Raw genomic sequence first — 18,391 nt, forward strand, 5'->3', positions numbered from 1 at the left:
ATACCAGAATCTCTGGGACGCATTCAAAGCAGTGTGTAGAGGGAAATTTATAGCACTAAATGCCCACAAGAGAAAGCAGGAAAGATCCAAAATTGACACCCTAACATCACAATTAAAAGAACTAGAAAAGCAAGAGCAAACACATTCAAAAGCTAGCAGAAGGCAAGAAATAACTAAAATCAGAGCAGAACTGAAGGAAATAGAGACACAAAAAACCCTTCAAAAATCAATGAATCCAGGAGCTGGTTTTTTGAAAGGATCAACAAAATTGATAGACCACTAGCAAGACTAATAAAGAAAAAAAGAGACAAGAATCAAATAGACACAATAAAAAATGATAAAGGGGATATCACCACCGATCCCACAGAAATACAAACTACCATCAGATAATACTACAAACACCTCTACGCAAATAAACTAGAAAATCTAGAAGAAATGGATAAATTCCTCAACACATACACTCTCCCAAGACTAAACCAGGAAGAAGTTGAATCTCTGAATAGACCAATAACAGGAGCTGAAATTATGGCAATAATCGATAGTTTACCAACCAAAAAGAGTCCAGGACCAGATGGATTCACAGCCGAATTCTACCAGAGGTACAAGGAGGAACTGGTACGATTCCTTCTGAAACTATTCCAATCAATAGAAAAAGAGGGAATCCTCCCTCACTCATTTTATGAGGCCAGCATCATTCTGATACCAAAGCCGGGCAGAGACACAACCAAAAAAGAGAATTTTAGACCAATATCCTTGATGAACATTGATGCAAAAATCCTCAATAAAATACTGGCAAAACGAATCCAGCAGCACATCAAAAAGCTTATCCACCATGATCAAGTGGGCTTCATCCCTGGGATGCAAGGCTGGTTCAATATACGCAAATCAATAAATGTAATCCAGCATATAAACAGAGCCAAAGACAAAAACCACATGATTATCTCAATAGGTGCAGAAAAAGCCTTTGACAAAATTCAACAACTCCTTCATGCTAAAAACTCTCAATAAATTAGGTATTGATGGGACGTATTTCAAAATAATAAGAGCTATCTATGACAAACCCACAGCCAATATCATACTGAATGGGCAAAAACTGGAAGCATTCCCTTTGAAAAATGGCACAAGACAGGGATGCCCTCTCTCACCACTCCTATTCAACATAGTGTTGGAAGTTCTGGCCAGGGCAATTAGGCAGTAGAAGGAAATAAAGGGTATTCAATTAGGAAAAGAGGAAGTCAAATTGTCCCTGTTTGCAGATGACATGATTGTATATCTAGAAAACCCCACTGTCTCAGCCCAAAATCTCCTTAAGCTGATAAGCAACTTCAGCAAAGTCTCAGGATACAAAATCAATGTACAAAAATCACAAGCATTCTTATACACCAACAACAGACAAACAGAGAGCCAAATCATGAGTGAACACCCATTCACAATTGCTTCAAAGAGAATAAAATACCTAGGAATCCAACTTACAAGGGATGTGAAGGACCTCTTCAAGGAGAACTACAAACCACTGCTCAAGGAAATAAAAGAGGATACAAACAAATGGAAGAACATTCCATGCTCATGGGTAGGAAGAATCAATATCGTGAAAATGGCCATACTGCCCAAGGTAATTTACAGATTCAATGCCATCCCCATAAAGCTACCAATGACTTTCCTCACAGAATTGGAAAAAACTACTTTAAAGTTCATATGGAACCAAAAAAGAGCCCGCATCGCCAAGTCAATCCTAAGCCAAAAGAACAAAGCTGGAGGCATCACACTACCTGACTTCAAACTATACTATAAGGCTACAGTAACCAAAACAGCATGGTACTGGTACCAAAACAGAGATATAGATCAATGGAACAGAACAGAGCCCTCAGAAATAACGCCGCATATCTACAACTATCTGATCTTTGACAAACCTGAGAAAAACAAGCAATGGGGAAAGGATTCCCTATTTAATAAATGGTGTTGGGAAAACTGGCTAGCCATATGTAGAAAGCTGAAACTGGATCCCTTCCTTACACCTTATACAAAAATCAATTCAAGATGGATTAAAGATTTAAACGTTAGACCTAAAACCATAAAAACCCTAGAAGAAAACCTAGGCATTACCCTTCAGGACATAGGCATGGGCAAGGACTTCATTTCCAAAACACCAAAAGCAAAGGCAACAAAAGCCAAAATTGACAACTGGGATCTAATTAAACTAAAGAGCTTCTGCACAGCAAAAGAAACTACCATCAGAGTGAACAGGCAACCAACAAAATGGGAGAAAATTTTCACAACCTACTCATCTGACAAAGGGCTAATATTCAGAATCTACAATGAACTCAAACAAATTTACAAGAAAAAAAAAACAACCCCATCAAAAAGTGGGCGAAGGACATGAACAGACACTTCTCAAAAGAAGACATTTATGCAGCCAAGAAACACATGAAAAAATGCTCATCATCACTGGCCATCAGAGAAATGCAAATCAAAACCACTATGAGATACCATCTCACACCAGTTAGAATGGCAATCATTAAAAAGTCAGGAAACAACAGGTGCTGGAGAGGATGTGGAGAAATAGGAACACTTTTACACTGTTGGTGGGACTGTAAACTAATTCAACCATTGTGGAAGTCAGTGTGGCGATTCCTCAGGGATCTAGAACTAGAAATACCATTTGACCCAGCCATCCCATTACTGGGTATATACCCAAAGGACTATAAATCATGCTGCTATAAAGACACATGCACACGTATGTTTATTGCGGCATTATTCACAATAGCAAAGACTTGGAACCAACCCAAATGTCCAACAATGATAGACTGGATTAAGAAAATGTGGCACATATATACCATGGAATACTATGCAGCCATAAAAAATGATGAGTTCGTGTCCTTTGTAGGGACATGGATGAAATTGGAAATCATCATTCTCAGTAAACTATCACAAGAACAAAAAACCAAACACGGCATATTCTCACTCATAGGTGGGAATTGAACAATGAGATCACATGGACACAGGAAGGGGAATATCACACTCTGGGGACTGTGGTGGGGTGGGGGGAGGGGGGAGGGATAGCATTGGGAGATATACCTAATGCTAGATGACGAGTTAGTGGGTGCAGCACACCAGCATGGCACATGTATACATATGTAACTAACCTGCACAATGTGCACATGTACCCTAAAACTTAAAGTATAATAAAAAAATAAAAAAAAAAGATAGGGATGGGTAGAGATAAGGATAGGGGTAATCTCCTAAAATAAATTTCATTTCTGAAATCGGTACTAATAGCAAGTTGATTGAAAACATAACATGATTTGTTTTATTCCACTTTATTTTTGGCAATCATAAGATACTGACTAGTTTAGAATCAATGTATATATTTTTTCCCTCTGAGCCCAGGCTTAGTGAATTGCTGTCAAACATCAACTTTGTTACTGTCACTGTGTAGATCATGTAGCTAGTGTGCTTGGCTCCTCATAGTGTGTGGACTTCACACTCATTTTGCCTCTTCAGTCTCAGTCTCCCAATTGTAACATGTTGCCACACTTTAACCAGCTTAACCTGGGCTTTCAAGATCATGTGAACACAGTATGAATTACTAATCAGTAGAATGTTCGTTCCATTGATGTCACTACTTATCCCTTGATTATAAAACCCCCTTAAACATTCTATTAAAAAACAAAATGCTTGCTTGTGGAGTTTTACTTTGCAAAAAAAAAAAAATAAAAAAAATAAAATAAAATAAAGAGTACACTGTATAGCTTCCACCTGTGATTCCTAGTGTACTTTACAATGCTTAGAGCACAATAGAGAATCAATAAGTACTGTATTGAACATGTGAATGTAAAATACTGAATTAGAAGGTGAAGGATAAAGAGGGATTATCTGTGGCCTTGTAACCAAGAAAATTATAAAGGTAGTAAAAGAAGATAACAGATTGTAAATACCACAATAACAGTATAAACCAATTGTATTAGAGGAACCAAAAACTTCATGCAGAACGTGTTAAACAACATTCTAGGACTCTGAGCAGGGAAGAGCGACATGACAAAAAACGTGTTTAGGTTGAACAGTATGTGTTAGACAGGGAGGACACAAGAGGGACTAACACTGAAATCTGGATATCATCACCTGGTCTAATTTTATAGTTGTAAGAAGAGAGTAAGGAAAAAGGATGGATCTGTGGTCCTAATATTACTTAGATTTATAGGCCCCTATAAATTGGCATGGCATATTTGGCTTGGTTTAAAAAGTGTTTTGAGGGAAAAAATGTAAGTATGATCCGTATAAGTATATGTAAACTAATGGAAGAAAACAGTACACTCATAGTCACCTTCCTATTTCCTAGAAAGTTCCTGTGAAGAGTTTTAAAAGATTAACTGCTTAAGCATTATACTAAAAATAATCTGAAATATATGAGGGCGAGGAAACCACCAAAAAATCCATAGATTAACTCAACAAAATTATATTTTGCAGAGAACTCTTATTTATTTATTTTTAAAAGTAGTCACCGAATTGGTTTTATTTTTTCAAAAGTATTTGAATGGTAATATTTAATTTTCTGCAGGTCTCAGATAACTTCCATGACACAAAGGAAAAAAAAAATACATTAGCTCCCTTCCACTGATATAAATATGCCTAGAGAGGAGCCTGCCAACAGCTGCGGGTAGCAGCATTTCTAACTGCCAGAAGAGGAAAACATCTCTGCTCACTTCAGCAAAGGTGTGCAACAAAGTGGGCACATTTGGCAGAGCCATCAGATCAATGCCAGGTATGAATATATCATGGTCATTCCCAAGGAGGACTTCTATCAGAGTCTGCTTTGAAGTTACCTAAAGCATAGAAGAAAATCTGCATGTTTTCATAGGCTATGAATCCAATGATATATCATTGGATTTTCCAGATTGACTTCGCATAATCTGGAAACTTAAGGGGAAAAGGACCATTGTTATCCAATAAACCCATTTTATCGAAAAAATATTCACTATATTGATTGAAGTTATAACACATTGAAATTTATGAGAATTATATAGAGTTTTCAGATCAACAGAAGATTTCTGATCTTTCAAGACCACCCAAAGCCAATTTGGAAACCCCAGGATCCAACCTAATCTTATTTGGTATTCAGAAGTATATACTTTTGTTGTTGATAAGGTCACATGCATGGACAACAGCTGGTAAAATGAAATGCTTTGGCCGGGCATGGTGGCTCACGCCTGTAATCCCAGCACTTTGGCAGAGGCAGACGGATCACCTAAGGTCAGGAGTTCGAGACCAGCCTGCCCAACATGGTGAAACCCCGTCTCTACTAAAAATACAAAAAATTGGCCGGGCATGGCAGCACGCGCCTGTAATCCCAGCTACTCCTGAGGCAGGAGAATCACTTGAACCTGGGAGGTGGAGGTTGCAGTGAGCTGAGATTGCACCACTGCACTCCAGCCTGGGTAATAAGAGCAAAACTCTGTCTCAAACAAAAAAAAAAAAAAAAAAAAGAAATGCTTTAATCTCAAAATGAAAGCAATTTCTTTTTACAAACTGGAGTGACGACAAGGAAGAAGTGTTACTACCAGTGTATAGCAGAGAGTTTATATTACTAAATTTAAAATCACCATTAAGTTCACAGGAAACAAAGCAGATGTATAAGCAACAAACATCCGAGCCGCAAAACAAATTCCCTATTCTTTGTAAGTCTTTTCTTGCCATTTATTCCTAATTAATCAGTATGTTTGCTATACTATTAAAATAAATATGATAAAAAGTAATCAAACCAATACAGAAAAAAGATGTTTCCCATATTTTGTCTCTGTTTACCTTTTTTGGAGAATGTAAAATGAAGAAAAATGGACATAGTAATAGAAATATGTATCTTCATTTCAGGCAGGTTCCTATTTGGCAAGAGTTTCAAGTTAATTGGGATATATGAACAATGAAAGCATGGTTAACAGACACCTGGGAAACCTAAATTTTTATTAATCCCATAGGTCAGTAAACCAAGGATTCCCCAGACCCACATCAAGAAAATCTAAATTATATTTTAAAATTGTTAGAAACATTGAAAAAAATTGCAAAAGTTACACATGAGGAAACTACCTAACCAAACCCAGTAAACTCTTTATTATTTTCCTGTCTTTTTTTGCCCCATGATATCCATTAAAGATCACTGATCTGCAATCTGAGTCCTTATTATGCTTGGAGTCAAGGAGAAAGAGTCAGCAGCCAGAAAAGGGTAAAAGAGAATCAGTTGTCTTAGCCTGATACCCAATGCAGAGGACAGGTAAGATATTATATGTTCACATGTCACCCAAGAAACAGCTTTCCCAGAACCCTGAGCCATGTATACTGTGACTGGGGATCTGTCCCAGTTATTAGGGTGCACTCCAGTTTTCTTTTGGGACTAGAGTCCTACTGAGAACATTGATCTGTCCAAAATGAGCCCTGACAAGCCATCTTAAGTCTTTACTAGATTCCTCTCTCTGAGAAGGGAGATCATGACTTTCTATCAATTGCTTACTAAAGACCTGTTTCAGCTCATTCAGACATACATCCTTCAATGTGATACAGATCTCTGATGCCCAGACCTACCAAAGAAATGCAAGGCTGTTGGTATTCCCTGGATTATACCTGAATTCAAAGGTCCTTGAGAGCCAGCTCTTTGAGGAGGGGTAATCTCCTGGCATGCTAATAATCTCTCTACAGTGCCCTGTCATTGAGTTCCTATGAGGAAAAGTCTGGGTGAGTATGACAATATGCTTTAATATATATGACATTCCTACTACGTCCAGTCAAGTGATTTCCACAAATTTTCTTATTTAATGATTACAACAATGCTATGAAGTCAGAACTAATATTATCCCCACTTTACAATCAAAAGGCTCAGGCTTAGAAATGATATGGGACTTCCTCCAAAGTTAACTAGGCAGTCAGACTCCTAAAACAATGCTTTTAAAGAAATTAGGCAATATACACCAACTATTTCATCAAACCTCTAACACCACCAAGTGTAAGATCACCATTATTTTGGTGGGTTAAGAAAAAAAAGACACAATGAAAATTAAACTGATAAAATGTTTTCTTTTCAGTGCCACTCAAAATGTGGACCCTGACCAGTGCCAGACCATAAACTGTTATCAGTCTACAAGGTCAGAAAATAAGAGTGTTTAGAAACTTTTGTAACATTTTAATATTGCAGTGAAAATTTCAAATATATTTTATAAAAGTGGTGAAGGTAGAAAACAAAAAACTAGACCTTGGCTTCAGATAGTCTAAGAAGCATTGACTTAGAATTTTTATTTTATTCTCATTTTTAAAGTTCTTTTAGATTCAAGGCATAGATTATCATTATAGATCATACTTGGGCATTATTGTTTCACTTCAGCATAAAAAGGAGGAAAACAGCAGCAAAAAAAATTGGTTAAAGTATTCGTAAAATGTTTTCACATTCAGAGTCTGACTCTTCTGAATCTCTTTTTGATGCAGAGTAATTGGTACCCATCTTTCTTTGTGTTACCAAGGCTGCCCAATCTAGGATTAAAAGCTCCTGGGTTTTAATCTGAGGCACTGACACCTTCTTCAAACTTGGATACTGGCCCTCTCTCTATCTTACCAGAACTCAGGAAATAACAGCTGTGTCACCACAAATCCAAACATCAGAAAGTTAAAAAGTTTAAAAAAAAAGTACATCTTAGAAGCCACGAAACAATAGTATCATTTATTGTTCTGTCATTTCTAAGATTTCTTGATGTTTTCTGATGTTTATTTGCCTAAATATGAATTTGAAAGAAATGACTTTCTCCGTTAAAGTCTATTTCTCATCTCTTATCTATACTCACAGACAAGATTTTGGTTGATACTTTGACAGATAGTCTTCATTATCTACGCTGAAGATATGTAGGTATTCCATGAGCAGTGTCATTCAAACATATGTGTCTATATAACTCAAACAATATAATGAAACCTACCAACTGAAAGCATTCTAGAAGCTCAATTCTGTCTTCTATTTATATCAGCTTGAGAATTCATTAATCAAAGTGCCCTAGTATCTACATATACCTTGTTAATTAATTAGACTACCAAAAGTTTAGAGAATACAATCTACCCATGGATTTGTTATAAAAGCAATAAATGTTTATCATGGAAAGCTCAGAAAATACAAAAAAAAGCTTAATAAAGATAAAAATCACAAATAATTCAAAACTCAAATCCAAAAATGGATCTTCCAATTTATGTCAGTTTATGGCGAACTGATAAAATATATTTAATGTAAAAAACCACAAAGCCATCTCCTTTGATGGGATGCATCCCAAAATGAACACAGATGACTAGGAAATTTTATATAGAATAGTCACTAATTTATGCTACTATATCTAATACCTTGATTTATACTACTATACCAAATACCTTAACATGTTAGGGGCATCATGTTCTCAAACCACAGCTAAATAGTTTCAGAAAATACTTAAGATCTTTTGACTTGTTTTGTGAGGTACTGAAGTTCGTTTCTTTACTATCAGCTATGAAAAGGGCAAGAAAAAGGAGCTATATAAGGTGAGAATAGGAGGAGGGATACAGGATAGAAGTTAGATACAAATTCTACAGATCACTTCTTATTGACAGAATTAATTGATTCTTGAGTATTTCTATGGAAGAGAACAGAAAACTGCAATGAGTGCTGACATCAATTTGTTGAAATGTTATGAAAGACACAGCTTAGTGATTCACTAGTGGTTAAACCTGCAAGGGTTCAGAAAAGCACCTAAACAGAAAAGCAATTAAATTAAAGGAGGAAAGAGAATAAAAATGTTAACTCTATATGTAATTTTAGTCACACAGTCCTTTATTTATGTCCAAAAATGTTGCTGAAACACAGGTAACAAATGTTACTGAAACAGCTAAATGGAAAACAAAAAAGCTCCACTATCTATCTAACTCAATACCTAAAAAATAATTAAATATGGACCACAAAATTAAGCATAAAAACTATAACCATAAAGATAATAGGTACCATATAACTATAAAGATAATAGATACCATATAAACATTAAGAAACCTAACAGAAAGTCTTCTTGACCTTTGGGTATGCAAAGATTTCTTGGACAAAACATAGAAAGTATTAATAACCCAATAAAAAGGAACAAAAAGTTTGAATAGACACACCACAAAGTGAGATATATGAAAGGCAATAAGCCAAGTGAAAGGTGCTCAATATCATTCATCTTTAAGGAAACAGAAATGAAAATCACAATAAAATAATACTGCACACCCACTAGAATACATAAAATAAAAAAGACTAACAAAACCAAGGAAAGCTAGACACAAAAGGGCACACTCTATGTAATTGCACTTACATGACATCCAAGAACAGACACGCTAAACTATGGTAATAGAAACCACTGGAGGAAGTAAGAAAGTTGTGACTGGAAAGGAGAACTTTCTAAAGTACAGGAAATACTATTCCTTGCTTTTGGGGTGCTGGTTACATGGGAGTGCAGAACTGTCAAAACTCCCTGAGTTAAGCACTTACAATCTGCACTTTTTCTGTTAATCTTATGTATACAAATATGTGTATTTACAGATATTATACATACACACATAGATACAGTTTAAGAAAGGTGTTAATATAATTAAGTCTTGGTACAATAATTTAATAAACATACATATACTGAGTTTCTGCTATGTGCTTCGTGCTACAAATTATTTATTTTTGTGTTAAAAATGAATGTCTTAAATTTACTTAAGCGTTCTAACACAAATACTGTGACTGAAGTAGACCATTCTTTAAATCTCTCTCCTAAGGAATGATAGCTTGTCAATTCTCAGAGACTAACATGGTTCAGTGCCTTTTCGGCATACAATTAATATATTCCATATCTTTTAAAACAGGAATATGCCACTATTAGCAGAAATGAAAACTATAATTATAGTATTTTGAAAATTATTCGTTTGCCATCAGTTACTTTCCACTTATGTGCTTGTACATTTTTAAATACCTTCCTAAACAGTTAACCAAGGCCTGAGAAAAGCACCTTTACAACAGTGGCCCTAATACCAGATATGGTCATACTTGATGTTACACTATATTGAATCACCAGAAATGTCCTTGGCTTCTCTGACTACATGGTATTTGTGAGCAATACTTAGGTTTCTCCAGACTAGAACATTTCCAACACAACAGTATTAATCATCTACAAAACAACCACTGAATAACAAAATATTTCCTTCGGAGAGAAATGCTTACTGTCTTCTGCTTAAATTGTTCTGCCTGAGTCATTACATTATCTGGTAAATTTTCTCGTCATGAAATTCCATCTCATGATAGCAAATCCTCAATACTGTTGTTACAGATCTTTCACAAGTATGTGTTGTTAGAAATTCATGTGCTTTGTGATTTCAAAATTGCTATTTATATAACGACTGCAAGTTCCAGGCAGAAGAAACTATTATTATTTAACATACACGATATACCTGCAGAATGCAAAGCACTGCCCAGGATGAATTTTTAATTCTTCCAAGTTCCACAGTAGTTCTAAATTCAATTAAGGGAAAAAAAAAGAAGTCTTCTTCCTGATTTATAATTCTGAGCCATTTCTTTTCATAAATAATAATGATCTAAAATTACTATGCTTGTGTGTACCTAGGATTATAATAAATGCCATGTGTCAAAGGGGGTATTACTAGAATAATTTTCAGTATCTATATAATTAGTTCATATAATATATTTAATGGCCTGTTACATGTTTAGCTGGCAAGTTTCTACATTTATTAACCTCATAATTTTAAATTAGAAAATTATATTTTGACCTACCTACTGCTTTTATTTTGACTGCATCCCAAATATATTAATAGTGGCATATATGTTTAATAAATGAGCCATTATTTCTCCAAGGTGTATAACCATACACACAGTGATGTCAATTGCGTTAAATGTTCCTGCCAAACAGGGAAACATTTAAGTTGTGTTAACTATAAAATCAGGATTACAATAATTTTAATGAAAGATTTACTTTTTTAGAAAACTTCAGACATACAGTCATGTGAATGGTAATGTAATGCTGACTGTATAAAATATGAACTATGCAAAGGTTTTACAGCTGGTTTTGATCAGCTTCCTTTGTTTAACATTAAAAGTTAACTTCCAGAAGACACATACAAGCTCTACATCCTACAGGTAATGATTACCAGATGGAGATGTTCTTCCTGTTACGTGTCTGATTATCATAAAGAATATACTACAAGAAGAAAAAAAAAAAACTAGGGCAGAGACTCTGATGTATTCTCTGATACAAACAGGCTCTTCCAAACTTTAGTCAATGAAGTCAGACTCACACTCAAAAATGCTTTTGTACTTGTAAAATAGTGATACAAGGTTATATTCTGCATATATGGTCAAATGTTTTAAATAATTAAATTGACGCCTTTAATCATTAGCCCCCTTTGGCTGTCAAAATGATTAAGTTGCAGCCTACTGAGTAACACTAATGATTTCTTACAATCTGCTTGAAAGAAAATCCAACCTATTGTCAAGCCCTGGCAGTCTAGATGCCCAGTTTCCTAGCAGGGCCCCCTAGAAATGGCCTCCTTGCCTCAAATTATTCCATGCACAATACTGGGTTATCAGCTAAAAACACCAGCTGAAACTAGGCTCAAAACTTTAAATGGCTCTAAATTTCTACCGAATATGGTTTGGTAGTTTTTTAATCTCCCTTTGTTCCTTTTCATGCATGCTATGTTCCCCTCAAAATGTTCTATTCACTTTTCTTGACTTGTTCTCCTACCTGTACTTCCCACTGTCTCAACTCTCTTTCTAATCTCTATGTGGTCAGATACCACCACTTCCAATACCAGCATAAAAATGATTTCCCCCACGAAGCTTTCCCTCATTCTTTTAAGGAAGAAGTAATTTCTCCCTTTTTGAACCACTGTGACACTTTATAAAACATTACATCTTCATTAGTAGTATATTCATTCCTGAACAGACCATATACCATACAAACTATATCCTCTCTATTGAGATAGAAGGCCTTGTCCATAGTACCAACCATAGGATTTTGCTTATGATAGGTGTTTAAGAAATGTTCATAGGCTGGGCATGGTGGCTCATGCCTATAATCCCAGCACTTTGGCAGGTTGAAGTGGGAGGATCGCTTAAGTCCAGGAGTTTGAAACCAGCCTGGGCAACATAGTGAAACCCTGTCTCTACAAAAACTTTAAAAACTAGCCAGGTGTGGTGGCCTGTGCCTATAGTCCCAGCTATTCAGGAGGCTGTGGTGGGAGGATCACTTGAGCCCAGGAGATTGAAGCTGCAGTGAGCCATAATCGTGCCACTGCACTCCAGCCTAGGTGACAGAGTGAGACCTTGTTTCAAAAAAAAAAAAAAAAGAAAAGAAAAAAAAAAGTGTTCATGAAACAAATCAATAAAAATCTGTATTTCTGCAAGGCCAAGTGCATTTCTACTTATAGTGTCACATTATCAGTAGAAAAACTCAATAAACACAAAAGTAAAGAAAGATAGATCAAAATGACAAATAGCCCACACCTCAACTTTTTGTTTTGCCTAAAATTTCAAGAAGTTTTAAAAAGGTGTATTTTGGAGGAAAAAAGAAAAGCTTCAAAAACAATTTTGGAAAATAAAGAATGGTATTAGTGAGCCAAAACTGAGGAATTGCTAAAAACAGAAATTAAACAAAATCAGATGGATAGAAGGACTGGTTGGGGGGGTGGGGGAACACACAATCTAAAACATAAGAAAGACAGGACTGTCAGTACACCTGGCTAATTTCAGTATTTTCAGTAGAGACAGAGTTTCGCCATGTTGGCCAGACTGGTCTTGAACTCCTGACTTCAAGTGATCTGCCCGCCTTGGCCTCCCAAAGTGCTGGGATTACAGGTGTGAGCCACCATGTCCAGTCCTCCGGTCATTTTATACCTCCTTTCTTCCTTTCATGCTCTACTGTTTACTGCTTTGGTTTTGTTCTCTTTTTTGTTTGTATATCTGCTGTAATTAATTAAATGTTGGTCACATAAAAATACTCTCGACTTTTCCACTCTGCCACACAATTTATATTTCTGTGGCCTTAATTTACATTTTTATTTATTATGTGTTCCTTAGCCAACATTGCAGTTGTTGTTTTTGACCATTTTGACCTTAAACCTTCATATTAGTTGACTGAAAGATTTACACAGTATCGTTACAGCATTGGGGTGTTCTTAGTTTTATTATAAATTTAGCTCTATTGGTGAGTTTTATACTTTCACATGTTTTCATTACAATGATTCTCACCTTTTTATTTCCTGTTGTAGCATTCCTTTAAGAATTTCTTGTAAGTCTGGTCAAGTGGTGATAAATTCCCTCAGCTTTTGCTCCTCTGGGAAGGTCTCTTTTTCTCTTTCATTTCGAAAGGAGAGCTTTGTTGGATACAGTATACTTGGCTGACAGGTTTTTTTATTTGTTTGTTTGTTTGTTTTCCTTCCTTTCCTTTCCTTTCAGCACTTTGAATACAACACCTCATTCTCTTCTGGCCTACAAAGTTTATGTTGGTAAATATACGGATAGTCTAATGGAAATTCCCTTATATGTGACTCAGTGTTTTTCTTTTGCAGCTTTTAGAATTCTCTGTCTTTGACTTTTGACAGTTTAATTATAATGTGCTCCAGAGAATCTTTTTCACTTGAATCTAACATGGGACATTTGTGCTTTCTTGATCTCAATGTCCACATCTCTCCCCATACTTGGGAAGTTTTCAGCTATTATTTTGTTACATATATTGCTGGGCGCGGTGGCTCATGCCTATAATCCCAGCACTTTGGGAGGCCGAGGCTGGTGGATCACTAGGTAAGGAGATCGAGACCATCTGGCTAATATAGTGAAACCCCGTCTCTACAACAAAATACAAAAAATTAGCCAGGCGTGGCAGCACAGGCCTGTAGTCCCAGCTACTTGGGAGGCTGAGGCAGGAGAATCGCTTGAACCTGGGAGGCAGAGGTTGCAGTGAGCTGAGATCACACTACCGCACTCCAGCCTGGGCGCCAGAGTGAGACTCCACAAAAGGCCCAGAATAGCCAAACCACACTCAGCAAAAAGGAAGAAAAAGAAAGAAGAAAAAAGAAGAGGAGGAGGAGAAGTGGAAGAAGGAAGAAGTGGGGAGGAGAAGGAAGAAGAAGGGGGAAGAGGAGGAAGAAGAAGGGGGAAGAGGAGGAAGAAGAAGGGGAAAGGAGGAGGAAGGAGGAAGAAAAAAAGGAAGGAAGGAAAAAAACCTAGAAGAACCATGTTACCTCACTTCAAATAATATTACTGGGCTATAGTAACCAAAACTGTATGGTGTTGGCATCAAAACAGATACACAGAACAGTGGAACAGAAAAGAGAACCCAGAACAAATACATACATCTACAGTGAACTCACTTTCGAGAAAGATGCCAAGAACATACATTGGGCAAAGGACAGTCTCTTCAATAAACAGTTCTGGGAAAATTGGATATCCATATGCAGAAGAATGAAACTAGACCCACATCTCTTGCCATGTACAGAAGTCAAGTCAAAATGGATTAAAGACTTAAATCTAAGACCTCAAACTATGAAACTATTCATAGAACTCACTAGGAATACTCTATAGGGCATTGGACTGGACAAAGATTTCTTGAGTAATACCCCACCAGCATAGGCAATCAAAGTAAAAATGAACAAATGAGATTACATCAAATTGCAAAGCTTCTGCACAGCAAAGGAAACAATCAACAAAGTAAGAGACAACCCACAAAATGGGAGAAAATATTTGTAAACTATCCATCTCACAAGGGTTCAATAACCAGAATATATAAGGAGCTCAAACAATTCAATAGGAAAAAATCTAATAATCTGATTAAAACATGGGCAAAAGATCTGAAGAGACATTTCTCAAAAGAAGACAAACAGTACACAAGTATATGAAAAAGTGCTTTACAACTGATCGTCAGAGAAATGCAAATCAAAACTAAAATGAGGTAGTATCTCACCCCAGTTAAAATGGCTTTTATCCAAAAGGCAATAACAAATATTGGTGAGAATGTGGAGGAAAGGGAACTCTCATACATGTTGGTTTGAATGTAAATTAGTACAATCACTACGCAGAACAGTTTGGAGGTTCCTCAGAAATCTAAAAACAGAGCTACCATATGATCCAGATATACCTCTGCTAGGTATATCCCAGAAAAAAGGAAATCAATATATTGAAAAGATATCTGCATTCCCGTGTTTACTAGTCACAATAGTAAAGATTTGGAAGCAACATAAGTGTCCATCAACAGAAGAATGAATAAAGAAAATGTGGCATATACGCAATGAAGTACTATTCAGCCATTAAAAAAAAAAGATTCTGTTATTTGCAACAACATAGATGGAACTGGAGGTCATTAAGTGAAATAAGCCAGGCACACAAAAACCGACTTCACTTGTTCTCACTTATTTATGGAGGCTAAAAATTAAAACAATTGAACTCATGGACACAGAGAGTAGACAGATGGTTACCAGAGGCTGAGAAGGGAAATGAAGAAGTGGAGGTAAAGTGGGGATGGTTAATGGGTACAAAAAACAGAAAGAATAAATAAGGTCTAGTATGTGACAGCAGAACAGAGTGACTACAATCAATAATAATTTAACTATAGCTGTAAAAATAACTAAGAGTATAAATGGATTGCAGTAGAAAGCACAAATGCTTGAGGTGATGGATGCCTCATTTACCCTGATAAAATTACTATCCATTTTATGCCTGTATCAGAAAATCTCATATATCCCATATATATATGTACATATATACGTATATATGTACATATATATATACAACTATGTATCCACAAGAATTTAAAAATTAAGAAATTAAATGAATAAATAAACAAAACCTTCTCTCCTGAACAAAGCCAAAGAGAGTGAAATTGACAGAGAGAAAAACAATGCCTACATAATCTGGTCCCTATCTTACTTTTACATTTCAGCTCGTCCCATTTGATCCTTAACTCACTTCACTCCAGAAATACTGATATTTCTGTTTCTGGAGTACATTCCAATCTCAGTACCTTTATACTCCCTGTTAATACATGGTATTCTCCTTCACATTATTTAATTCTTTGCTCATGTATCATCTTCTCTGAGGTAATCTAACATTATTACTCCCAGTCCTTGTCCTAGATTATTTCCTTCATAGTAGTTAACACTATGTGATACTATTTATTCATTTACTTATTGTCCTTCTTGCATACCAAAATATAAGCTCCATTAGAGAAGAGACTTTCTTGTATATACCATTATATCCCCAGTACCTAAAACAATGGTTGCCACATTTATCAATAAGTCTTTGATGAGTGAATGAATGATAGAGCTCCTCTGTGGCTAGAAATCACCATCCAATCTAACTCTACGTCTTATATATACACTATAATTGTGGAAACAGGATTTTCTATCATATCTGAATCCACATACTTATACACCATTTAACAGGGTTCTACCTTAAGAGTGGCAATAAAAACACTGCAGTAGCTGCAGAATATTTTACTCTTGGGCCTGATAAAATATTGACAGAAACAATTCTAAAAGAACTGCCTGCTCAGCAATTTCAGCCAATTTTTGAGCCTGGAAAAAATAGGGGGAAAAAATCAAGTGAACTTTCACTCAGTTACATGAAAATGCAATGCATTAGTTTTATTTCATTTGGGCTTCTAAATAAAATAAGCAATTTAAATAAAGCCAATCAACTTGCAAATAAAGAAAGTGCCACATCTATGGCATTTTACACAAACTAGAAAATCTAGAGGAAATGGATAAATTCCTGGAAATACATAACCTCCCAATATTAAATCAGGAAGAAATTGAAACTCTGAACAGACCAATACTGAGTTCCAGAATTAAATCAGTAATAAAAAGCCTACCAACCAGAAAAAGCCCCAGACCAGACAGATTAACAGCTGAACTCTACCAGACATACAAAGAGTTGATATCAATTCTACTGAAACTATTCCAAAAAAATGAGGAAGAGGGACTCCTCCCTAACTCATTCTATGAAACTAGCATCACTCTGATGCCAAAAGCTGGCAAAGACACAACAACAACAACAAAAAGAAAACTTCAGGCCAATATCTCTGACAATTGTAGACACAAAAATCATTAACAAAATACTAGCAAACCAAGTCCAGCAGCACATCAAAAAGTTAACTGACCACGATCAATTAGGCTTTATTCCTGAGATGCAATGTTTGTTCAACATATATGTCAATAAATGTAATTCATTACATAAACAGAATTAAAAACAAAAACCATATGAGTATCTCAACAGACACAGAAAGAGCTCTCAGTAAAATCCCACATTCTTTCACGATAAAAGCCCTCAAGAAACTAGGCATCAAAGGACATACTATCATATCATACTACCAACATCATAGTAAAAAGGCAAAAGCTTGAAAGCATTCTCCCTAAGAATAGGAACAAAGTATGGATGCTCACTTTGACTACTTCTACTCAACATAGTACTGGAAGTCCTAACCAGAGCAATCAGGCAGGAGAGAGAAATAAAAGGCACCCAAATAGGAAAATACTAAGTCAAATTATCTCTCTTCAGAGACAATAGGATTCGACACCTAGAAAACCCTAAAGACCTGACCAGAAGGCTCCTAGAAATGATAAATGACTTTAGTAAAGTTTCAGGATATAAAATCAACATACAAAAATCAGTAGCACTTCCATACATTTATAACATTTTAGCTGAAAGCCAAATCAAGAACACAATCCCATTTACAATAGTCATAGTCACACAAATATCTAGGAATACATCTAACAAAGGAGGTGAAAGATCTACAAGGAGAACTATAAAACCCTGCTGTAAGAAATCACAGAATGACACAAATGGAAAAACATTCCATGTTCATAGATATTAAAGAATCATTATTATTATTATTATTATTATTATTATTATTATTATTTTTCAGACGGAGTCTCACTCTGTAGCCCAGGCCGGAGTGCAGTGGCGTTATCTCGGCTCAATGCAACCTCCGCCTCCCAGGTTCAAGCGATTCTCTTACCTCAGCCTCCTGAGTAGCTGGGATTATAGGCACACGCCACCACACCCGGCTAATTTTTGTATTTTTAATAGAGACAGGGTTTCACCATGTTGGCCAGGCTGGTCTTGAACTCCTGACCTCATAATCCACCCGCCTCAGCCTCCCAAACTGCTGGGATTGCAGGCATGAGCCACTGTGCCCGGCCAAGAATCACTATCTTTAAAAAGGCCATATGGCTTAAAGCAGGGTACAGATTCAATGTTATTCCTATCAAACTACCAACACTGTTTTTACCCCAATTAGAAAAAACTCTTCTAAAATTCTTACAGAACCAATAAAAAGCTTGAATACCCAGAGCAATCCTAAGTAAAATGAACAGTCAGAGG

General features: G+C 36.0%; 1 protein-coding gene across 29 annotated transcripts in view, besides 1 other annotated feature; it reads right to left on the reverse strand.

Moving 5' to 3' along the window:
- The window catches only part of SUPT3H (SPT3 homolog, SAGA and STAGA complex component), a 568,878-nt gene that overhangs the window by 256,223 nt on the left and 294,264 nt on the right, over positions 1 to 18,391 (reverse strand). The window lies entirely within an intron of this gene.
- Positions 9,320 to 9,520: a silencer, noted in NCBI's record as "peak5820 fragment used in MPRA reporter construct". NCBI's record gives its function as "represses an SCP1 promoter by STARR-seq MPRAs in K562 erythroleukemia cells {active_cell/tissue: K562}" and the evidence as "EXISTENCE:reporter gene assay evidence [ECO:0000049][PMID:32103011]".

The sequence above is a fragment of the Homo sapiens genome, chromosome 6 (assembly GCF_000001405.40).
Source record: "Homo sapiens chromosome 6, GRCh38.p14 Primary Assembly".
Lineage (NCBI taxonomy): Eukaryota > Metazoa > Chordata > Mammalia > Primates > Hominidae > Homo > Homo sapiens.